The 25,685-nt window shown below is 38.1% G+C and overlaps 1 protein-coding gene across 1 annotated transcript in view; it reads left to right on the forward strand.

The window, feature by feature from the left end:
* The window catches only part of PALMD (palmdelphin), a 48,423-nt gene extending 23,577 nt beyond the window's left edge, over positions 1-24,846 (forward strand). The window contains exons 4-8 of the mRNA NM_017734.5: positions 16,987-17,101; positions 17,241-17,274; positions 17,387-17,500; positions 19,086-20,183; positions 24,330-24,846. Of these exons, the coding sequence (NP_060204.1) occupies positions 16,987-17,101; positions 17,241-17,274; positions 17,387-17,500; positions 19,086-20,183; positions 24,330-24,373 (1,405 nt within the window). The 3' untranslated portion in view covers positions 24,374-24,846. The remainder of the gene's footprint in view (positions 1-16,986; positions 17,102-17,240; positions 17,275-17,386; positions 17,501-19,085; positions 20,184-24,329) is intronic.
* The last annotated feature ends 839 nt before the right edge of the window (positions 24,847-25,685 follow it).

Below are 25,685 nucleotides of genomic sequence, written 5' to 3' on the forward strand. Positions count from 1 at the left end.
GAGTATTAACCAGGACTCTACTGATTGCTTTTAGGCCTTGCCTGAATGCTCTGAGAAGCACACGAGCTCCCAGAAGTATTGACAGTGGCTGGTCTAGTTAGAGCTCCTTCCTAACCAAAAATTAAAAAGGAGAAGGAGGAGGGAGAGGAAGAGAGAGATAGATTTAATAAGCCATAGTATACAGCAGGCACTTTACATATATTGTCCCATTTAATCTTCATAACCCGGTGAGGGTAGGTATTATTACCTTCACTTCTTTCAGAGAAGTTAAGGAATTCACACAACTAGGAAGTGGGAGGTCAGGGACTGACTCATTTGACTACTCCACAGTGCCTGTGAAATGATGGCACACAGCAGCCTCTGTGGACTGAAAAGGTATTCTCTCTTATAGAAAATCTTTGAAGTGTGTTCTGTCCCTTTGCTCTCCTTTCTCCAAAATCTCCAACCACACTTAGGGTCTCCTTCTATGTCCCCCTATTCTCTTTGGTAAATTACTGATTCCATGTTTGTTCATTACCCAATTTCTCGCATCTCACTACAACTTTTAGATCTTCATGATGCTAAATCCATCAATACTCCTTTGTGAATACCAAATGAGTTTAGTCCTTAAATATAAGTAATAATAATAGTAATGGTTCATTTTTAAAGGAACTTGTATAATTTACAAAGCACTTGAACTTACATTAAGTCATCGAAAACAACAATCCTAGAAAGAAAGTGCCAACACCTCCATTTCACAGATGAGGAAATAGGCGCAGAGAAAGAAAGTGACTTAATTAAGGCCACAGAGTCAGTAAAGGGTAGACTTAGATCTCAAAGCAAGCCAGGTTCAGTGCTCTCCAGCTGAAAAATGAAGAGAGCTGTAAATGCAAATGCTCTAGAAATAGTAAAACACCTAACACAGACAAGTATCTCTAATAATCAGCAAACTGCTTTGTTTAAGGAATGATCCTAAAAAGATGTATTTGCAAAAAAAAATAGTAAAGAATTTGTTTTCTTGTGACCTATAGAGGCAGGTTTATCTGGTTAAAAATATAACAGCAACAGAATGTTCCAAAGCAACACACAGAGAAAAAATATCTATGCCTTGTCTGTATTAAGCAACCTCCCCTACTGCCCAGCATTATAAAAATCACATTGCCAAAGCAGCTTTACCTGATAATGGAACGTTTTCTTCTCAGATGTTTGTAAAGCTGCTAAAAAAAACAAAAACAAAAAAACAAAAAAACAAATCAGGTGCATGTTTTTAAATTCAATCTTTCTCCTAAACAAGTACCCACAGTGCTTGAGAAGCTCTTATTACCAGCTAAATCAGTACAATTTCCTGTTAGCACTGAGTAGCAATGGAGCCAACTGATGAATTTGAACTAGGGAGACCCACTCACAATCCCTAAGCAGGGAAAGTAACTCAAACTCTGAATGTGATTTATCACTTGACTTACGTGCCTGCTCGAGGGTGACATTTGCCACTCTGCCAGGCCCCCTCAGCTAGAGGATAAGATTTTAATGGGAACATCAAAGTAGAAATATTGCTATTACCGTGGAGTCCATAGCAGGGCCAGACTTTGCCCATGAACCTTTCTTTCCTTCTACTTCTAAGGCGTTGTAAGATGAACTGAAATAGCGTTGCCTCTGGCATTCAAATCCCTCTTCTGCTGACATAGTACACAGGCTTGGCCATGTTCTTTCATTTCTTTGAGCCTCAGTTTCCTTGCCTGTAATGTGAGACAGTTATAGCCACTTCACAGGACTGCTGTGAATACAGAGTGCCTGACACATGGAGGTGTACAAAAAATATTAAATACTAGTCCTTACTAAAAGGTGAAATTAGAAGAACAACACTGCACGGATCTTTATCCAGGTATTTTTATTTTTTGGCCAAGTTCTCTCCTTTCTTTATGCTAGTACAAAGAGTGTTTTTCTTGGAGTAAACTGAGAATACCAACCAATGAGGATTCTTTCCATTTGGAAATAATCTATGATTTTTTTTATGGCTTAAAGTCTAGAATGCTACCATAGAGGTTAATTTTTGTGGAACATTTGCTGTGGACCAGGCATTGTGCTAAACATTTCATGTACATTATTTCATTGAGTTCTCACAACTACCCTATTAGGTAGGTAACATTTAACAGATGAGAAAAATTGACACTTACAGAGGCTAACTCACCCTAAGTCATACAGCAAAACGTAAAGAGCCAGGATTTAAAACCTAATTAAAAGTCCTAATCATAAAAATAAAATTGCACCTCAGAGCCTGTAGAAATTTTTTACAAATGTTAAATGCTGTAAACTCTATACTTTTATAGCATTTTTAAGTTTCCAATCTATGCTACAATTTCACTTTTATGTGTACCACTTTATGTAGACATTTACCTGAATATTTAACATATTAAAGACATTCAGAGGGTACCCTGACTCACACATAACCTTTAAGTAAAGCATATCTGCTTATTCATCCTGTCGTTGTCTCCTCCAAAGAGAGGCAACATTTCAGAAAATAAGTGGGTTTCCATGGTTTCTGTCTCTGAGTTACATTCTTAGCTTTCAAACAATATTGTGGAGTATTTTGCCTTGTGCCCTGATTAATACCTTAGGAGGAAATGTTCCCAGGGGAAGCCTATATTGAACGTCTCCTTCTGAATCACTTTGCTTAAATAGAGTTTCAATTTGCCTCCCAAAAGAGCCCTGCGCTTACTGCGACCACTGAACCATTTACTGCCTGATTGTAGGCACAGGTGCACTGATTTTTCAGTCCAAATATCCATGTGCACAAATTTATACCTGGTTTAGAAATCTTGTCCTAACACTTTCCTTGCTCTCCTCTATCCAATAGCCCACACCCAAAATGACACCCCCAGTAAGTCTCCATAGGAGGTATGCCCCCAGCAACTTGTTCACATCCTGGGTTCTTCTTTCCTATCCAGCTGCCCTGCAGTTGTCCATGACCTCCCTTAGCCAAACTGCCCTGTGCCAAGCTCCCGGCCAGACACTCTACTTCTTGAACTGTGTCCAAAGACCTCTGACTTTAATTGGAGCACACAGAGCGCCTGACAGAAATGTCATAAGCATGAAATGTAAAAGGTCAACTGCCGAGGAGAATGATGCAAATACACTGCATTCCCTTTGGGAAGGATAAGCTACTTATGATTAAATGTTCTCTAGCACGGATTTTTTTTTTAATACTCCAAAGTGCCCTTCTGACCTTCTGCCTTCTTTTAATGAACTTTCATTTGTCCCCCAAATAGTTAGAAACCGCCTTCCACAGATGATACAAATGGGCAAAGGTGTATGTGAAGCCTTGGATGTCTGTGTGACTACGTGTCATGAGAAAAGCCAAGTGGGCTGGTACAGCAGCTATAGCCACATCCCACATAACTTAAGGAAAATTCCTCCACAAAAGGAGCTGAAACCCAGGAAAATGCATTCTGCTCAATATCATGTAAAGCAATAATTTACTCAATTAACTAAAAAGAGAGCAGGCAAAATTCAATTCAAAAGAGAACCCAAAACATTGATGTAGAAATATAAAAGTTAAATTTTTTTGTTACTGGTTATCATTTATCAAAGTTTATCTTATTATTATTTCCATCCAAGTTTAACCCCTACTTAATGCTTTTAACTACCTGTGCAGGTCAATTGTACCTTAATGAAACTAATGTTTCCTCAAACACGGGTGAGATATGCTACGTGAAAAATACTACATTCTAGATGTTTCTGCCTTCCTACCCTAACCCGTATCTAATACCACATAGCAGAGAGATAGACAAGCTGCTCTTTTATGACAACATAAGAAAAAAAAAGAGGCGAAAAAAAACTCTACCATTTGTTTCTTATTAAATTTGCTGTTGCCTAGAGACACTCAAGAAATTATTCTAAGGTAATTACATGAGTCAAAATCGTTCCAAGCATGTTTTTCACTCTCCATATTTGACTAATTGGTTTACCAGATTTGTAATAGTTCATCTGTTGTTGTTTTCAATTTCCCAGATAGTCTGATTATTTTTAATTCAGGAGCTTCACTTTTAACAAAAAAAAGCCAAGTAAACCAAACTTAAAAGCAAAAAAGGGAAGAAGTCTACCCACTCCAACCCTCCGAAACACACACATACAAGCCCCTAGTACAACGCCTAGCACATAGTAGGAATACCTGTGAATACATAGCTTAATAAGTGAATGAATGAGTAAAATAGATGACGTATAGATGAATGTTAGTACTTAAAAATACTACCTTTCTAAGAGGACCAGCTAAAGAAGCCTAGATAATGACTTGAACATTAATGAACTGAAAAGGAAAGCCTTGAAACTCTTTTAAAAATAAGAAAAGAATAAACATCCAGCTATTTTGAGTCAAGGGCAAAGTTAAATGGTAGTAGTGCCCTGGTTTTTTAAACAATTATCAATGGCATGTTTTAACATCTCACCAGCACTTTGTTTACTTTCTCTCCATGTTCCCTTCCTCCATATGCCCTTTTATTTCCTTATCCCGACCTTTCAGCATTCATTCTTGCTCATACCTGCCAATCTCATCTATATGTTAGTAGAAATAAAGATTAAATGGTTACTGGCCCCCACCATGATAAGCTGAAAAGTAGATTGCAATAAACTCTGAGGGTCCTCCCTCCACTCCACTTCAATTTATTTAACAACAGCTACTCTTTATGGAGCACTATTCTGAGAATGACAATTCTCTGAGGGAAGTCTAATTAGCCTCATTTTGTACATAAGGACACTAAATCATAGAAAGCTATAAATCTGGCAACAGTCATGCCAGGAGTCACACATAGGTCTTTCTGACTCCAGACCCTTCCCACCAGACCTCACACTGCTTATTCTTGATTCATTCCATGAACATTATTGAGAACTTGCCATATGTAAGTCTTTGAGTCTTACAGAGAAGATTCCATATAAACTCCCACCCAAAAAAAAAAAAAATTTGTTTTTCTCTCTTTAAATCCCTTAACTTTTCAAAATGCATTTACATTTATTATCTCACTTCAAATGGTATTCAGTGCCTTGAAATACAAATATGACACCATTAGCAGAGTTGTCATAAATCTTTGGCTGTGCTGACATGAGTAAAGACAAAACAAAGGAGCAACTGAACAATCCAGAAAGTGGGAGGTGAATTAGTTTCAGTGACCCGTTCTCCAAGCCTTGGTCATAAAGGATGAATGTTCAAGAGCAGCGACTCATTGTAATAGAGAAAGGATCTGTGCTGCCTGCCACCAGGCCTAGACTTCTGCATTCTGCAGGAGAGTTTCCCGTGACTAATTTTACCAGCTCAAAAAACTTCCACACCCACCCCCTTGCGATGCATCTTTTGTCTGCCATAAGGCAAATGTCACTTCGTCCATTTAGACCACCCAAGGTTATCTGATTCTTGTTGGTTATTCTATGTTTTATTAGGATTGGAATTTATATTTGTTGATCTTCAAACAATAGAGTCCTGTTCCTTGGTATCAAATATGAACAGTTAACATCAAGAAACAAAGCAAAAATGAAGTAGATAAAAAATAGAAAATATAGTGACTGCTGTATAATATAGTCAGGGATAAATGTTAAGGGTTACCAAGGCACAAAGCCAGGAATTATTTCTGAAAGGAAAGAGTCACTATCTACATCATTGAATACTTTTTGCCATTTCATTATATAATTACAAGTAGTTTATTCATAGAAATGTTTTTCTCTACAATTTATTTTTAGGAAAAGAAAAGAGGCTTACCAGAATCATGGATAAGTATATCTTCAGTTAACTTGCCATGTCCTGGCCACAACAGTAGTTGATGGTCACTTGGGAAACTCATGACAGCTGGGTACAAGTCAAATTATTACAATTACTTCACTCCTATTAAATGTTTGGCATGTACTACAAGGTCCTCTACAAGCCCTAATTTAAAAACACACACACCTAGTTTCTGTCCCACCAGAGCAGTTGAGAAGCCCATAACAAACCAATCCTTCATATCACATCAACCTTGAGACTATATGTTTATTTGCATTCATTTGAAAATGACATTTGTTTAATAACTTGTGCATGATAGTGGCTGATTCTCTGAAAACCAGTTTGGTTTCTTATTTTTCATGGCAAATGAAACCCTCAATTTGCAAAATATTGTTCTGATTAAGAGGGTTTGCTTTTCTACTAAATCACTCTCTTCTAACGTTGCATGCCTACACGGCAGTTTCAAATTAGGATACTATCATCTGCCCATAAGATAATTATTAATATTTGCAGAGTTATATTAGGAGATGAGATTCACCCATGCAAAAGCTATTCACATATAATCAGTCAGCTTTCTAAACATCTGCTCTGTTCCCAACCATCAGAGCAAACTAATGCTTGTTTTAATGTCATTGTTCCCTTGCCTCTCTGCTTCTTGTTATCTTAAAACTGCTGCATTGTATTGTTTGTCCTATTCTTAAATGCTCAGGATTAGAGGCAATAGATCTGACTTGTGGCAAACTTAGTGTTTGCTGTATGCCAAATGCCCTTTAATTCTCTGGCATGCTTACCACTAGCATGTGACAGTTTGCACTAGTAGGCTAGATCTTCCTTATTATACACATGCCCTTTGACAATGGCTGGTTCTAAGGCAGTTCTTCTTCTTCCTTTTTTTTAAGGACACCAGCCATATTGGATAGTTTTTGTTCTCACCTACTGTCTATGCACTGAATTATTCTTCATCTTTTTTGATACGCACTTTTTAAAAATTTTTGTAGATGTAGGGGGTACAAGTGCAGTTTTGTTATATGGATACACTGAATAGTGGTGAAGTCTGGGCTTTTAGTGCAATCATCAGCCAATATATTCATTGTATCCATTAGGTAATTTCTCATCCCTAATACCCCTCCCACCCTCTCACCCTTCTGAGTCTCCAGTGGCTAGTATTCCACTCTATATGTCCATATATACACATTACTTCATACCCACTTATACGTTAGAACACGTGGTATTTGTCTGTTTCTGAGTTATTTCACTTAAGATAATGATTTTATTTCAGCTTAGTGAAGAAAATATGCCTGACATATAATAGGTCCTTAATAAAGGTTTGTTATATTTTGATGAAATTTATTAAACCCCAACTTTAAAAAGTAAAAAAAGAAAAAAAAAGCTCACCTTCTAATATATTACATGACCCTCAACTTTATTAAGAAAATGTAGTTTGGCACTACCATTGGCCAAATTATCTACAAAGATGAAATATCTTTAACCTCTGACCCATCAGTAGTAATTTATCTGCCTATTACATATGACTAACACACTGCAGTCAAGATAACTAAAGTCAACTGTATGTACTCAATAATAGCCATTGAATTTCCAGAGAGATTATTTTAGATGAGTTATGATTTAAAAAAGTAAAAAGACCTTTCATTTTTCACTGCAAACCTTAACCATTCAGTAGTAGCCAGCTGTCAACACATATCATGCCAGATTTGATACATTTTTTAGAAACACATAAATCCTTTAACCACTGAGAGCAAAGACTGATTAATTTTTCTGTTTTTCTAGTTAACAACCTGAAATGCAAGATACTAATGAGTAATTCTGCAAATCAATGAAAAAAATTATGAAAAATCTCATAAAATGTGTCACACTACAATTCATTCCCCATAAAGTTACACAATAGTCAGCATATGGGTTTTGTCACTTTAAAAGGGTCCTCAAGAGCAGTGCCTTAAATGAGATAGAAAGGTTCATTTCTCTCACATACATCAAATCCTAACTGGTAGACATTCAAGCAGAGGAGAGCATCAATGTTACATGAGGTTATCTAGAGGCCCTATTTCTTTCTGCCTTGTTGCTTTGCTACCTCCTAAGGGATGCCCTTGGCTATACAGTCAAAGCCAGCTCACTACCTCATCTGCATTCCACTTCAGGAAGGGAAGATAAATGGAGGACAAGCAGTTCAATTTTAATGGCATGACCTGACAGTTGCAGATGTCAATTCTGCTAATACCCTGTTGGCCAGAATTTACTCACATGGTACCATCTGAATGCCAAGGACACTGGGAAATGTAGTCCATAGCAAGGTAGCCAGGAAGTCGTATAAAACTCAGGGCATTCTATCACTAAAAAGAACAAAAGGAGAATGGACTGGGGATGGGGTGTGGAGAGAGGAAACGACAGGTTGTCAAAAAAGACTAGGATGTTCTTTCTGCTCACATTTACTAAATAGACATCATCCTCATACATATTATTACAACTCTTCCAATCATGCTGGATCACTGTTGAGATTTTCTGTTTAGATCAGTATTTGCAAGGACAAGTGTGTCCCTGAATCTATATTAGTACCATGCTTGCTAAAGTTGCAGATCAAACACCCAAATGGACCTGCTAGATTTTTGTCTTCCAATGGGGTTGTCACAGGTGGTCCTCCTCTCTCAAGCAAACTAAGAAGGAGAAAAGTGTAAGTCCTTTTCTATTTTTTTTTTTTTTTTGAGACTGTCTCACTCTGTCACCCAGGCTGGAGTGCCGTGGCATGAACTCACTGCGACCTCTGCCTCCCAGATTCAAGCGATTCTCCTGACTCAGCCTCCCGAGTACTGGGATTATATAGGTGCGTGCCACCATGCCCAGCTAATTTTTGTATTTTTAGTAGAGACAAGGTTTCACCATGTTGGCCGGGCTGGTCTCGAACTCCTGATCTCAAGTTATCCACTCGCCTCAGCCTCCCAAAGTGCTGGGATTACAGGCCTAAGCCACCACGCCTGGCCCAGTAACTCATCTTTACTAAGGAACTCCTCTACATCAAGCCCTGTTGTAGGGGTTTATGAACAATTACCTCAATTAATTCCTTAAGACAACCTTTAGTGAATACTACTATTATTCCCTAAATGAGAAAAAAAGCTTGGAGGGGTTAAATGATTAAGCCAAGTGTATTAGCTTTGAGATGGGTTCATTTTCTGTTTCCATGGGTAGAGCTGTAAAAAGTCTTTTTTTCCCCTGAGAAAGTGGGCTTTCACAAAAAAACTCACAAAATATAGGTAAACCACCAGCTGTTTCCTGTTCTCCCAAGATTTAGTGGGGAAGAAAGGGAAGAGAATCTCTAGGGGAGAATCAAGCTAGAATTGCTCACCACTCTAGGCAGAATTCAATACTTATCAGAGGCAAAGACACTCTGAGAGCCTGTGAGTCCCAAAAGAAACTGGATCCAGCTGGACATGGTGGCTCACACCTGTAATCCCAGCTTTTAGGGAGGCCAAGGCAAGGCGGGAGGATCTCTTGAGCCCAGGAGTTAAAGACAAGCCTGGGCAATACAGGGATACCTTGACTCTTAAAAAAAAAAAAAAATCCTTCTTTATCTAGCTTGGGGAATGTTGGGGGTGGGGGTTTGGTCCTAGCACTTCCATCGACCGGCCTCAGAGGCACATCAGTAGTGGCATAACACCTGCTGACTCAGGCCATCCCAGAGAAATAGCCATTGGACCCTCTCTTTAGGTGTAGTCCTGGCTTTTAATAAGAGAGTTTGGGCTACTGAAACGCAAGTAATTCATCAGTCCCTTCAAAGTATAGATAAGAGCCAGTCATAAACTTAATTTCATACCTAGCATTGGTAGTTACATTGAAACTGCAGTAATACAATCAAATTGCATTAGCCAGCTTTATATTTAAGACCTACTGCTTTAATTACTTTAAACAACACAGTCTTGTGTGGAAGCAAAGAAAGTCTTGCTATAAAGTGGCATTAGCTTAGGAAACCCCAGATTCTTTGAAGGAGACCGTTCTAAGAACTCCTACCAGAACCAAAGTCAAGCAGCCAAAAGGAAAAAAAAAGATAAAGCCCGGACTTCAATCCTTGTTAGATGGACTAACCCACTGAGCAGAAAAATCCCCAGTACAGAAAAATAACCCTAACGAAGATTAGGACAGAAATATTACCTTTGTATATAATGGGTCAACACGTTTACACACTCGTGGGCCCCAGCTATCATTTCAATCTTCACTTCCTTCATTATCATAGAAAGTAAAAAATCCCTTAATACTGCTGAGCTAAATGAATGTTGTGTCTAAGCTCCTAAGAATCAATTTTTTTAAGTTTTCTTTCTACAGTGGCTAATTGGAGAGGAGTTAAGAGTTCAGACTCTGTAAGTAAAGATCTGATTTCAAATTCCATCCTGCCTCAGGCTGCCTGTGAGACTCTGGGCCGGTTGCCTTTCTAGGTGCCCAGCTTGCTCATCTGTCAATTGGAACTAACAACAGTGCTCATGGGGGTTGCTGTAAGGACGAAATAGGCCAGTGCCTGGTGCAATGGAAATATGCAATATGTGTTAAATGTTATAAATGCTAACACATGAAGTACTGAAAGGTAGGATGATGACTTTTGAATTTTGGTTTGTGTGGTTTTTCCCCTCATGAGTTCCAATCTGTTTGGCCCCTAATGGCAAACTCTATCAGGTTGTGAGTCCTTGTTAACTCCACCAAAAGCTGAGAGAGATAAATGGACCCTTAGCAGCAGAAAAATTGCCTTCTGAAATAACCTCTTCCTGATGCATCCAGCATTTATGTGCTGTCCTTTTTTCCAAGACAAAAAATTGCATGTTGGAATTGGATTGGAGACATTATCTCGTGATGATTAAGGGAGGTTATTACTACAACAGTTCATGAAATGAAAGCTACCTGCTTTTACCCAGGGAGCTCTTGAAAATAACCCTCTTTTTCCCCAGTGAATAGGCAAGGAAAAGCAAGATTCCAATAATGGATAGCATTACAAATCCTTTTTCATGTACTCTGCTTATCTAAATTGGCACATGATGCCTGCCCACCATCTCTCAGAAATTGTGAGAGGTACTGACTCATCCATCAAGCCCCACCTAACAGCCTGGGAGGCACCAAGGAGGATATTTCTCTTTCTCTGCTGCCTGTTCCTCACCAAACTGAATCAGCATTTCAAGGAGCTCAATTCCCATTCTGAAAGGTAATACCTTCTAAAGATGGGGACGGCAGCACTTATGGAAATTCTAACCCATCAGCTGAAAGATAGGCATGTGAAAGTTAGAGAGTTACCCCACAGTAACCTCCCCAAAAGCTCTCCATTTGAAAAAATTTTAATTTTACATATATATGTATATACACCCACACATAAACACACATACATACACATATATGTGTGTATATCTATGTACATGCATACATGTATGTGTATATGTGTGTATATATATGCATATATATATATATTGCCTTCTGGAAAACCTCTTCCTGATGCATCCAGCATTTATGTGCTGTCCTTTTTTCCAAGACAAAAAATTGCATGTTGGAATTGGATTGGAGACATTATCTCATGATGATTAAGGGAGGTTATTCCTGCAACAGTTCATGAAATGAAAGCTACCTGCTTTTACCCAAGGAGCTCTTGAAAATAACCCTCTTTTTCCCCAGCAAATAGACTATATATATACATATATGTGTGTGTATATATGTGTGTGTGTGTGTGTGTGTGTGTGTGTGTATGTATATATATATATGTATAGAGCCCGGACTTTAATCCTTGTTAGATGGACTAACCCGCTGAGCAGAAAAATCCCCAGTACAACAAAATAACCCTAAGGAATATATATATTTTTTCTATAGTGGCTAATTGGAGAGGAGTAAGAGTTCAGACTCTGTAAGTAAATATCTGATTTCAAATTCCATCCTATATATTTTCCCAATACTTCATTTATACTTGCCAAATTTTTTCTCTTCCCCAAAACTACCTTTGGGAAGGGATTAGGAATGAGTCCCTAATTTAAGTCTTGCATTGTTTAAGCTTTAAATCAGGGCCGAATATTCTCTTAACTATGAATGGTCATTGAACAAGGAAAAACAACAGATACACAAACGTATATGTATCTTGGAATGGGAAGGAATAATGAGGAAAAAAATAAAAATATAAAAGAAATGGATATAAACAAATTCCTTATAAAGTACCTATCAAGAACTTACACTATACCAGGCATTCTTTTAGGTATCCAGGATTCCTCAACCTCAGCACTATTGACACTTTGGGCTAAATCATTCTTTGTTGTGAGGAAACTGTTCTGTGCATGACAGGACATTCAGCACCATCCCTGGCCTCTACCCACTAGATGTCAGCAGCACCCCTCACCCTCGCCAAGTTATGAGAAGCAAAACTGTCTCCAGACTTTGCCAAATATCCCCAGGGAACAAAATCGCCTCTGGTTACGAACCACTGTACTAGATACACAAAAATTGCCCTGCCTACTAGTTGCAATTTTTGTTTTATGCTCCTTAAGGACAGTCAGTCCTCAAAAACTCAGTGCATTATCTGGTGTACAGGTTGTCAAACCTCCTCTTCTCCATTGCTGGGCTACTGCTGACTTCTGACCAAGTGGAGGAGGTTGCGGGGGTTCTGGGAGCATCCAGTTCCTTACTCTCAGTTATGCTTTCTAAGTCTCTCATCATTTCCATTAGCATTCTGATCTTTTAGAAAGCTTTTCTAGAGCAGCAAATCTCTAACATTCATCTGATATTTATATTGTCCATAAATATTTGAAGTATCAAATCAACATACAAAAATAAGAAGTCAAGTTTTGCATTGAAGTGGAAATTTTAGGAAATGTTCTACATCAGTAGGCATCTCCTGTTAGAGGTTTGTGATTCTAAGTAATTAGTACCAAGATGTTTCCTAGTTATCCTTTTCAACTCAGAGTTGGCTGTGACTAAGGGATAAAGAATGGGAGGGAGGTGTTTGTTTATGTTTAGTTTTCACAAACATGTCATGATGTATTGTGAGACCACAGCGACTTATTAATGCAACTTTCATCCAGTGACTTGAAAACCTTCAAAAATATTCATTAACAGATACGCTGATGAGGTTTGCAGGCTTTCAACCTCATATTCTTACCATATTAGTCTAAAGAGATTCTTGGGATGAATCATATGGCATTACATTACCCACGGCTTTATCTTCAGAGAGAAACAACAACAAACACCAGTGCATTTCAAAATTCCCTAAGGTGTCATTGGCCAAGCAGACCAGGAGCTTTGTCTCTATGCCCCAGGAAAAGAAAGGGGCAGAGACAGGAAGAAACTAGCTGAAGTCATCGGGCTCATGCCTGTAATCCCAGCACTTTGAGAGGCCGAGGCAAGCAGATCACTTGAGGTCAGGAGTTTGAGACCAGCCTGGTCAACATGGTGAAAGCCCATCTCTACTAAAAATACAAAAATTAGCCAGGCGTCGTGGTGCACTCCTGTAGTCCCAGCTACTCAGGAGGCTGAGTCAGGAGAATCGCTCGAACCTGGGAGGCAGAGGTTACAGTGAGCCGAGATTGCACCACTACACTTCAGCCTGGGTGACAGAGCAAGACTCTGTCTCCAAAAAGAAAGAAGGAAAGAAAGAAAGAAAGAAAGAAAGAAAGAAAGAAAGAGAGAGAGAGAGAGAGAGAGAGAGAGAGAGAGAGAAAGAAAGAAAGAAAGAAAGAAAGAAAGAAAGAAAGAAAGAAAGAAAGAAAGAAAGAAAGAAAGAAAGAAAGAAAGAAACGAACACCCTATGAAGTTGTTAACATTGACCAGATCTCTAAATGTTGAATTGCTCCAGATTCAGGCCTTGGAATTCTTATCTCCTTCACTTTCTAGGGAAACTTATCCACTCCTGTGGTGATAAATACCAACTCCCAAATGTATATCTTCAAACCCAGACTTCTCTGAGCTCCAGTCTTGTATATCCAACTGTCTTCTCCATATCACACTTGATTGTCTCAAATTTAACACATCCCCCACAAATCCCCTTTCTTCTCTCTCCCAGATTTCTTCAGCCAATTGTATTGCATGTTTCCAATTATTCAGGTCACAAACAGTGGAATCACCTTGACATCTCCCTTTCTCTTATCCCCTGCATGTAATCATCAACAAATTCTGACAGCTCTTTCTGTCAAATATTTCTAGAATCCAACCACTTCTCACCCTTCTACTGGCAACCAACCTGGATTACACCATCTTCATCTAGATTTTTAGCACAATTGACCTCCATGTTTGCCCCATCCAGTCTATTTTCCACACAGCAGCCAGTGTAACTGTTTACATTTCAAGTCATAGCATGTTTCCTCTCTGTTCAAAATTCCAGTGGCTTCCCCAAAGCCCTTCCATGCACAAGGCCCTGCCTATCTGGTCATCTGCCTCCTCTCTGACTTCATTTCACCTTTCTACTCTCTTGGCTCTTCCTTCGCTCTCTATAGTTACTCTTCCATCTCTCTGGAGCACACTCCCTTTGAAACCCTCATGTTTCCCGCTCTCACTTCCTTCATGTCTCTGCTCAAATGACACTTTATCAGAGAAACTTCCCTCACCACACTGTGTGAAATAGTGCCCCCTCCTCAGGCTTTCTCTATATTCTTTATCTTGCTGTTTACAGCCCCTATCCTGCTTTTCTCATCAAAAATATTTTTTCTTCATAAATAAATGTGTTTATGTGTATATATATGTATGTACATACATCTGCAATATATACATATTTGTATTACACATTTATTAATGCAGGGATTGACAAACTATGGCCCAGGACCAAATCTAGCCCTGGCCTGATTTTGTACAGACACAAGCTAAAAATGGTTTTTATATTATTAAAAGGCTGTAAAAGAAAAAGGGGAAAAAAGATGAATAAGAAACAGAAAGCATATGTGGACTGCAAAACCTAAAATATTTGGCATCCGGCCCCTTATAGAAAAAGGTTGCCAGCCCCTGTATTGTCTCCCACTAGAACATAAACTCCTTGAGCTCAGGGACTTTGTTTTGGTCACTGTAAGATCCCCAGCACATAGAAGAGTGCCTGGTTCAAAGTAGATGCTAAGTAAATATTTTTAAAAGAATGAATGAATAAAGACAATGAGTTTTATTGTTTGTTTGTTTGTTTGTTAGCCCAGATCTCACTCTGTTGCCCAGGCTGGAGTGCAATGGTATGATCATGGCTCACTGCAAGCTCGACCACTCGGGCTCAAACAATCCTCCCACCTCAGCCTCCCATGTAGCTGAGACCACAGGTGTATGCTCAGCTAATTTTTTTTAATATTTGTAGAGACTGAGGTCTCACTATGTTGTCCAGGCTCATCTCTAACTCCTAGGCTCAAGCAATCTTCCTGCCTCAGCTTCCCAAAGTGCTGGATTATAGGCATGAGCCACTTCTCTCAGCCCAACACTGAGTCTTAGTGAGGTCAGGTGACTTGTCTAAGGTCACACAGGAAGCTGGCAGATGAACCAGGTTTCAAACCCAGGTCCACCTGATTCCACAGCTAGGCCCTGATGTGCAAGAGCTGCTTGAAGCAATGATTTGAACCTTCTTGTTTTCTACCAAAAGGCTTTCCTTTGTAGACTGTCTCTAACAGGCAAATTAGGTAAGCACCCTGTGGGACAGGGGATGAAAAAAGAAAGACATACAGTATGTTGCAGAAAACTTTTAAAAATTATATCATAACATATTTACATCTGATATCAACCATATTCAATGTACTTTCATATACATCATCTCTTAGTGTCACCACATATCTGTCTGTATATGGTAATGAGCGTAATCTGTAATTATGCTCATTACACACATTACAAAACAGAGTTTCAGAGAGGTTAGGGGAACTGGCTTTCACAAGAAATGAGTAGCAGAGACAGAATTGAATCCAGATTTATCACTTTTAGTGCAGAGCTTTCCCCTTTACCAAATTGGACCAACATATATCCCCACAGCTCTGCTGAAGGGTAAAAGTGCTGCCATGGATGTGGAGGAATTTTAATAAAATGGCAGTCACAGTTCAGTCACTTCTAAGAAACCAGGGGCTACTCCATTTCACTTAGAGGTCTGTGGCATACAAGAAAACCTCCTCAGTTATAAACGGCAATCTACCAATGGCCAGAGGCAGCAGCAAAGTAAGAACTTTGAAACTGAAGCAATGAGCAAGAGAGCTGTCAAGCTGACCACATCTTGGGCTTTTACTGGTGTGACAATAGTGCAGCATTTTTGAGCTGCCAGGCCCATGACCATCTTCAAGAAGGAAGCCAAGAAAACTGACAGTTCTCTTAGCTGACACGAATATCCACAGCTGTCACCTCCTGGACCAGCTGCTGAATCTAATCAGCCATCCTCTGAGGCAGCTGACTTTAGAGCCTTAGTGTATTTGGCTGAGAAACCATGTGTGTTACGTGGCTGCCAAGGGCCAGCCTTCTGCGTGATTGCCAGTGTCTCTATGTTTTTATAGAGGAGAGGTCACGATGCTGCCCCCTGGAGTTCATTTGAATCTGACACGCAGCTGTACACTGGCCAAGATACCAGCTCAGAATGCTTGCAACAGTCTAGTTTCAAATGTCTGTCTCTTTGTTGCTGTAAGTTCCTTATGCTGTGTCAGGCCATGTGTGCCCTACCCCCCGCCCAGAAAATGTAGCCTCTATAAACAGCAGCAGTTGAAGCTACTGTACTATATTTGGTCCATTTCTGCATCTCTTCACCCTCCTCACTATAATATGGCCCAACTCTTAGGAAACTGAAATTAAATCAAAGTGTCATTTTCAATGGTAGAATATGCAAGAATTTTAAGTACTAAATGACTATGATTATTAAATCAGTTTAATAATTATAATGTTTTCTTCAAATAATTTATATGATGACTTGGATATGAAAACCTGATGAACTACATAATAACTACAAATGTACCATTCCTTTCGGTACAACTTTAAACTTATGTCTCTGTATTTTAAAAATCTCTTTTATTTGGAAATAACATTAGTAATTGCAATGAAGAACATGGAGCAAAGGTCAAATGCTTTACCTAATATATTCCTTTGTCAAAAAAAGAAAACTTGAAAATCGTTCAAAGTCGGGCATTAGGTATCTTCCATATATTAAGTATCATGCTTAGTGTGATGCTAAGTGTGACATTATATTCTTAGAAAGTGTCTGGCTACTTACATGCATATTCCAAGGAAACTTTATATATGGGGAAGACATATTTGAGAACTCCGCATTTGTACTGTGTTAAGCAATAAAAAGTATACCTTTTTGTTGTCAGGCTTGAGAAAGAGATCCAAGATCTTGAAAAAGCTGAACTGCAAATCTCAACGAAGGAAGAGGCCATTTTAAAGAAACTAAAGTCAATTGAGCGGACAACAGAAGACATTATAAGAGTGAGCATTAACCAATTTTAAAACTGTAATTCTCTCTCAAAATGAATCCACAAATACTATATAATTTTTCAAAGCATATCCACATTTAGATTCTATTTTTTAAACTGTATTAATCATGGAGAATTCTTTTTTCTTACAGTCTGTGAAAGTGGAAAGAGAAGAAAGAGCAGAAGGTATGTTTTTGAATAACTTATTTTATGTTAAACTAAGTTTTTTTGGTAATTTGAAATTGTTCCCATTGTAAATATATTCTAAATGTATTTTGAATTCATATTAATTTTACAGAGTCAATTGAGGACATCTATGCTAATATCCCTGACCTTCCAAAGTCCTACATACCTTCTAGGTTAAGGAAGGAGATAAATGAAGAAAAAGAAGATGATGAACAAAATAGGAAAGGTATATGAGAAATCTGTGTTGAAGGGCATGTTCTTAATTTCAGATTTTACAGTGTCAAATATTCACAACTTGCTATGACATATTATTCTTCCAGGTTAAGCAATGGTTCACTTTACAAAGTTCTGTGAGTTATGTGAGTCACCGCATAGGTGAGGATAATGAGGGTATAATAATAGCATTTATTCCATGCATTTTATTCCCTAACAAACCAGACAGGGATAAGGAAGATAGAGACCCAAAGGAGACAAGAAGCTCTTAAAAGCATAGATTCCCTGGTCAAAAATATTTCTCCTGACATATTCCATCCAATAGAACCTCTTTGGGGGTTACAAAGATCTTTTTTGAAAATGAAAATATTCCTTTGGGAAGCTTAGGCCTTATTTACCTCCATGGGAAATTGAGTTACATAAAACTGATGCTTCAAAGCTTCTAGAAAAATGAAGGTTTGCATTAGAGCAGAGAGGAAAACTTTGAATTTTACAGTGGAAGGAAAAGCTACTCTTTATTTGCAGATGGTAGTCATTTATTCATTCAACAAATATTTAGAGAATAGATACTGTGTGCCAGGTTCAGTTAGGCACATAGTAGGTATTCACTAAATATATCATGGTAGGGAGTGCAATACAGAGAATAAAGCAGAGAAGCTGGACAGGGAGAGTGCAGATGAGGGGTGTTGCAGTTTTTCTTGGGTAGTCAAGGAAGGCCAAGAACCACCAGGCTATAGAGGAGGTAAGAAATACAAAATGGGTTCAGAAAGAAAGGTGGGAGGACACAACAAAAGCAAGCTGTAATTTTGCACAGAATTCTATTCGCTTTACCTTTCCTATTGAAATTCCAGCCATAGGGATCTTACTTAGGTCATGAAGCAAATCTCAGCTTCCCCAGTTCTCTCCAGTCCATTTGTCTCAGTGCAGCTGATATTGCTGTACTTTTTAGCCCTTCCTCTACTTGAAAATGGGAGTGAAAATGAAAAGAAACATAAGGCAGAAAGAGAAGTGTGTGATTGTAGCCTTCTCCCTCCCGTTTCCATCCCAGTTCTACATTTAAACAGCCTCTCCACTGTGAAAACTTTAGAACACACCTCTATAATTTCACCAGGCTGCTGGCCTGTACAACAAGGATGTAACTTTATAAAATATACTGTACTAGGCACTTTGCCCACTGTGATGCACAGTCCAACATATTCTTCTTGACTAAAGAAGAGATTGATTCTGCCCATTGAGAAATGCAAAAGAAAGTATATCCATCTTGCTGAATTTATTAATAGGAAAGAGGATATCTTTTTCGGTTCCCCATTGAAATTCTTTCCTATTTGGAACCATCAGCTTATCTTCTCTAATCAACTTCTCTTCTTCAACCCTTTCCATTTTTCAGTACAATTCCCTACACCATTACATAAAAACCCGTGTTATTCCAGTTGGTCATGATATCATTAATGAGTAAAATCAGAAATTTAAAAAATAGACAACATCTCACATACAAGAACATGAAGGGTCTACTTAATATAAAAATAAACACAGTGAAAGCAGGTTAGTTTACAAAAGAAAAGTTAACTAAATCAAAGATCAAATTTGTTTCTTAACAGCTTTATATGCCATGGAAATTAAAGTTGAAAAAGACTTGAAGACTGGAGAAAGTACAGTTCTGTCTTCAATACCTCTGCCATCAGATGACTTTAAAGGTACAGGAATAAAAGTTTATGATGATGGGCAAAAGTCAGTGTATGCAGTAAGTTCTAATCACAGTGCAGCATACAATGGCACCGATGGCCTGGCACCAGTTGAAGTAGAGGAACTTCTAAGACAAGCCTCAGAGAGAAACTCTAAATCCCCAACAGAGTATCATGAGCCTGTATATGCCAATCCCTTTTACAGGCCTACAACCCCACAGAGAGAAACGGTGACCCCTGGACCAAACTTTCAAGAAAGGATAAAGATTAAAACTAATGGACTGGGTATTGGTGTAAATGAATCCATACACAATATGGGCAATGGTCTTTCAGAGGAAAGGGGAAACAACTTCAATCACATCAGTCCCATTCCGCCAGTGCCTCATCCCCGATCAGTGATTCAACAAGCAGAAGAGAAGCTTCACACCCCGCAAAAAAGGCTAATGACTCCTTGGGAAGAATCGAATGTCATGCAGGACAAAGATGCACCCTCTCCAAAGCCAAGGCTGAGCCCCAGAGAGACAATATTTGGGAAATCTGAACACCAGAATTCTTCACCCACTTGTCAGGAGGACGAGGAAGATGTCAGATATAATATCGTTCATTCCCTGCCTCCAGACATAAATGATACAGAACCGGTGACAATGATTTTCATGGGGTATCAGCAGGCAGAAGACAGTGAAGAAGATAAGAAGTTTCTGACAGGATATGATGGGATCATCCATGCTGAGCTGGTTGTGATTGATGATGAGGAGGAGGAGGATGAAGGAGAAGCAGAGAAACCGTCCTACCACCCCATAGCTCCCCATAGTCAGGTGTACCAGCCAGCCAAACCAACACCACTTCCTAGAAAAAGATCAGAAGCTAGTCCTCATGAAAACACAAATCATAAATCCCCCCACAAAAATTCCATATCTCTGAAAGAGCAAGAAGAAAGCTTAGGCAGCCCTGTCCACCATTCCCCATTTGATGCTCAGACAACTGGAGATGGGACTGAGGATCCATCCTTAACAGGTAATAAAAATGACAAGGCATGCCACTGCTGTTCAGTCATGTGACCAGCTTCTCTTGTGCTAATGCAGTCTTGCTTTCAGGCTTCTCTGACCACCTCATAAACTAATACGCACTGAGATTTTTTTATTAATGCTGATAGAGATTATTATCACCACAGTAAAGTGATTAAGTCACTTCAAAAGATAAAGAAAGTAAAAATAAATCATTGCCTTATTTGATATTGTATTGAGGAACTTTAATAACTTGAATTTCATCTTCTATCATGGTATGGTGCTGCTTGTGAGTGTATTTGGGTCACTAATATGTTGGATCATCAATAACATATCTTTTTCCACTAGAATCTGATGACTACTTTATTTGTGCCTCACTGTGATTTAAACTTCTTATATAAGTTAACAAATTGCCTTAATTCTGCAAGAAAGTACAAGAAACAAATTTTATTTTCAGAGTATTTTATTACCTTGCTGTATCTTGTTTCTCTATATGTCTATAGTTTCATTAATTTTATTTTCCTAATTTTTCTACATTTTAAAATAGAATGTTAGTTTATTTTATGTTTTCTATAACCTTTAACTTTGCATAGTGTTCCCCAACTTAGCATATTTATCTTTTCTATTTTCTATATATTTGCATTTCTCATTCTTTGCAAAATTTTTATAGCTTTATAGCTAACCAGCTATTTTAGCATTGAGTGGAAAATAACTTTAACACTTTTTTTCTACAAAAGTGATAGCTTCTCAATTTTAGATTTCTTGTTATCACTTAAATACTATATTCTAGTTATCATTTATAAAGAATAAATAAGAACCTAACAAAATCAGTTATAATAGCTGTACTTACCTTGGCTAAAGATGTAAATCAAATTACCCTGACATACAATTTCTGTATGTTTGCTAGGGATAGTAATTTTAAATGTCTCTAATGGAAGGATTCTCATTAAAAAGCAATAAATATTAAGTACTGGCTAACTTCACAAGTCAAACTTGATAATTCTATGGCAGTGTGGTAGTACCTGCACAATTACCTACACAATTCAATAATGTTTCTTCCTCTACAACCCATAAGCCCAATATTAGGTAGCTAATAATACAGTAAAATGAACCTTCTCCCATTATTTTAAGTAGTTAAAGTAGGTATCCCAATGATAAATTTAATTACCTGAAGAATTTCTAAGCTTTTGGAAAGTATACACGTATACAACTTCCTCAATCAGAGTTGAGTGATATGTCTCACAATGGAAAGTTGCAGATACTAAGTTTCTTTCCATCTTAAGAGAGAGCTTTGGTCACTGATCAAACTTTGCCATCTTAAACTCATTTTAAAAACAAAAAACACAGAAGACTTAGAAGAGAGGAACACACTGTTTACGGTCAATAGCAGTGACATTATCCACTATAAAACCTCCCTTTTCTGAACTTGGATATTAGCCAGCTCCTCCTGAACACCCTTATTTCTTCTCCTCTAACCTTGTCAACACATTTACCCCATGGAAAATGACAGGAAGTGACTAACATTTCCAGACAACACTAATCATGCCCCTGAACTAAAATAATGAAAACAGGAAAACCTATTCCAGACAAAGTAACAATACAGAGTTCTGTATTATCAATCAAAGTATCTTATAAACAGAATGCTCCAAATTCCTTGCCTTCCACCATGATATTGTTTTACATTGCTGTTTTCCAATTCGGCATACAGACTACAGAGCTGATGTGTATTTTTTAAGTAGGTTTTAAAAATAAGTAAGTCACAGTGTCATATGCCCTCACATGCCATCCATATACAAAGAATACATAACCACCTACGTACTTCCATTTCACAAACACCAAGTGGGTTGAGCTTCTCCCCATAACTCCCCCAAAAAACGCTTATGATACTTGAAAACTCACCATTTAGGTCAATTCCTTTATTTATGGTATAAATCCCCTATTTAATATAAATAGCCCTGGTAGGCATAATAGTTAAGAATTGTTAGTCTCTTTTCCCTTGGTATAAATATGGTTATCAATACCTTATCTAAGAGCAATTTTAATTTGGAAAACAGCGTGAAGAAGAAAGAAATGGAAAAAGGTGGACCCTGGAGATTCAAAAGACAAGATTTTTTTAGTCAAAATTTTGAACAGAGTAAGACATGACAGAAAAATTCAGGCAACATTATGTCCATCTGCTTAATGTAAATATAACATATTCATAGGATAAAGCTCAATGCCAGACACTTCCACCATTGCATGGCCCCAGCCAGCTTTGCATGGGAACTCACTGCTACCCCTACCAATCAGGGGGTAGTAGTTGGCTTTCTTTGGTAGTCCTCACCAACCTATTCTTGTACTTCCAGCTCTATTCTGTCCTCTTAGAGGTGTCAGTGGCATTCCAGGATGAAGTGGTGGGGATCTCAGCTCTGGGAGTTCATATGCTACTGGTGCTGATTGCCAACCTGCAACAGCCATTAGAGTCCAAGGGATAATGAGAGTAAGGAGACTTCTATCAAGTTCAGCCAGCTGAAACCATGCATCTAAAATGCTATGGGAAGAAGAGGCAGGGATCAGACAGGAGCAGAAAATAGAAGTAAAAAAGAGAGCTGATGGCCCAGGGTTTTTAGCTGCTAAACCAAGCCTTCTATTGCCAACATGCTCTGGCCCCATGCATTTACTGGAACTCACACTACCTACTTGCCATAGGCTTGAAAAAAGGAAAGAAAGGAAAGCAGACTCTAGCAAACTTCTCTGAATGTCCACAGCACACAGGATGTGCCTGATTTACGGAATCTTACAGTGAGGAGTGACTGTAAGAAAAAGCAATTTGCCCGTGACTTATAAGAGACTCAAAAAGCCCCTCACTCCTACTCTCTTTTGTTGGTAGGGGCAAGATAGAGGTCCATAAAATCCAACAGTATAAACTTCATAAAGACTTGCCTTCTGCCTTCTGCCTTCTGTTCACCTTCTGCTATGTAACTACAGCCTCTGCCAGCAATCGAGACCTGCTTGCTACAGAGCACATTCTCTCAGTTCATCCTAAATTCTAGGGAATATTCTTGGCCCTGCCACTAGAACTGATCATCCCTGTTAAAGTTTCAAGGGAAATAATGCTCTTTAGCTTCATTGAAATTAAAATATTTCATATAAGTGGAGTGACAATTAAAATAATCATGGTCTTGTTACAGAATTAGATCCCATCCCTTCTCATATTTGTGCAAAAAGGTTTCTTAGGTATGGGGTCATTTCCATTGTCAAAAGGTAACCAATATATGGTATACAAATGAGAAAACATGTCTTCCATTTTACTTTCCATGAGACAAAATTGTGCAATCAGTTACATAGCTTGTTCTTGGGCCATATTACATGTGAATGTAATATTAGATCATTAACATAATCTTTAGATCAGTGCCTTGAAAGCATCTATCAACTTTTGGAACATGACTAAGGCAGCTCTACACTGAAATCCTAAATAATAAGAATAGAATACCAGAATACTCATCCAGAATACCAGAAAAGTGTTATACATTCTAAATCTACATTTTAAAAAATGCTTTCTACATTCAATATATTATTAGCAGAGGAATATATCCAAAAAGATATATTTGCCATTTTAAAACATACTTATATCTTGACAAAGACATTTTATAATCACTCCAGCTTTTAATAACTTGTTCCTGTTGTTTCATTCGTAAAGAAATTTGTTTTTGTTATTGTATATCCAAAGGCCAGAGCTCCTTTGGGAAAGGAAGTTGAATGAGCTGAAAGCAAACACGATCATGAAATAGAGTTTAAGTGTAAACACCATTTTATTTTGGCAGTACATAACTCAGAAATGTATGTAAAACAGTCATCAACCTATAGGAATCTGTATGTATGGCTAATAGGGAAACTGTGCATTAATCCTGTATTTGTTCCACTTGTACTGTTTGCTCTACTAATTTTTCTAATCTTTATAGAAATAGGTTCCTTCTAGTTCTGAACCTGCTTCTGCCCTAAGTTAACCATAGCTTATTATTTCTACTATCTTTTTGTGCTACTAAATCAATGCTCACACTGTTGGATAAAACCATCTGAGGTATGTTCTAAACTTTCCTGCATTCTATGAATGGCCATTTAGAGTAAAAATTGAGGATTTTTTTTATAACTCTCTTTTTTTTTCTTTAATTTGCAGCTTTAAGGATGAGAATGGCAAAGCTGGGAAAAAAGGTGATCTAAGAGTTGTACCACCTATATAAACATCCTTTGAAGAAGAAACTAAGAAGCATTTGCAAATTTCTCTTCTGGATATTTTGTTTATTTTTTCTGAAGTCCAAAAAATTATCATTACAGTGTACCATATTAAGCCATGTGAATAAGTAGTAGTCATTATTTGTGAAAAATTCCCAAAAAGCTGGGGAAAACAAATGTGTAACTTTTCCAGTTACTTGACACGATTCAGTGGGGGAAAACCAGCATTTTTTATTCTATTGATACCAAAGCATTTCTAATAAGAGCTTGTTAAATTTAAGAATAAAGTTATTTAAAATATTCTGAGTATAGTATATTAACTGGCATTGTAATTTTGATGATACAAAGATTGAAAGATCATAGGAAAGCATTGCCCTTCATCACAGAAGTATTCAACTCTGACAAATAAATATGTCATCCTGAATTAATAATGCCTTAATAAAAGTACATCCTCCTGCTAACTATCACTTCAGTTGGTTTGGTAGAGACTTCAAACCCTTGCACATATCCAAAAGGTGCATCCCGTAATGATCCTCAGATTTGGGGACTGAGTTTGGATAGTCCGGCCAGTGCACAGATGATAACCGGCACATTCATTCTTCTTAAATTATCATCCTTTCTTTCACTCAGTTCAATGTGAACCCTGTGGTGCAATGACAGACTATGACCTCAGGGTGTTGGATAGAGGATGTCCCATACCCTCAAAGAGCACAGATCTGGTCTAATATTTCACTGATTCTTGTGAACAAGTTAGACAGGGGTGGCCCATCTTTTGGCTTCCCTGAGCCACATTGGAAGAATTGTCTGGGCCACACATAAAATACACGAACACTAACAGTAGCTGATGATCTAAAAAAAAACGCAAAATAATCTCATACTGTTTTAATAAAGTTTATGAATTTGTGTTGGGATGCATTCAAAGCCATCCTGGGCCACATGCGGCCCGCGGGCGGCAGGTTGGGCAAGCTTGAGTTCGAATCTTAATATTAAAACTAATAGGAATGTTTACAGCATATTACTTCTAAGTATTCTTGCCAAGATATTCAATCCTAATTTGAAGCAGAGTACTCCCATGACAATAAATTCTTTCCTACCCTGCCTTATTTTACGTCCCTCCTTCAAACCCCCTCGAGATCCACTCCTACACACCTTCCCCTGAATCATGCCAGTATATATTATCCAGCTCATCCAAGTCTTTCCATGAGAGTCTGTTTCCTCCCAGGACAGAAACTGAATTTCCCTGCTGGGACTATGTATGATCAGACTTTATCTTAATTATTGGTCTGAAGGTAATGAGAGG

The sequence above is a fragment of the Homo sapiens genome, chromosome 1 (assembly GCF_000001405.40).
Source record: "Homo sapiens chromosome 1, GRCh38.p14 Primary Assembly".
NCBI lineage: Eukaryota > Metazoa > Chordata > Mammalia > Primates > Hominidae > Homo > Homo sapiens.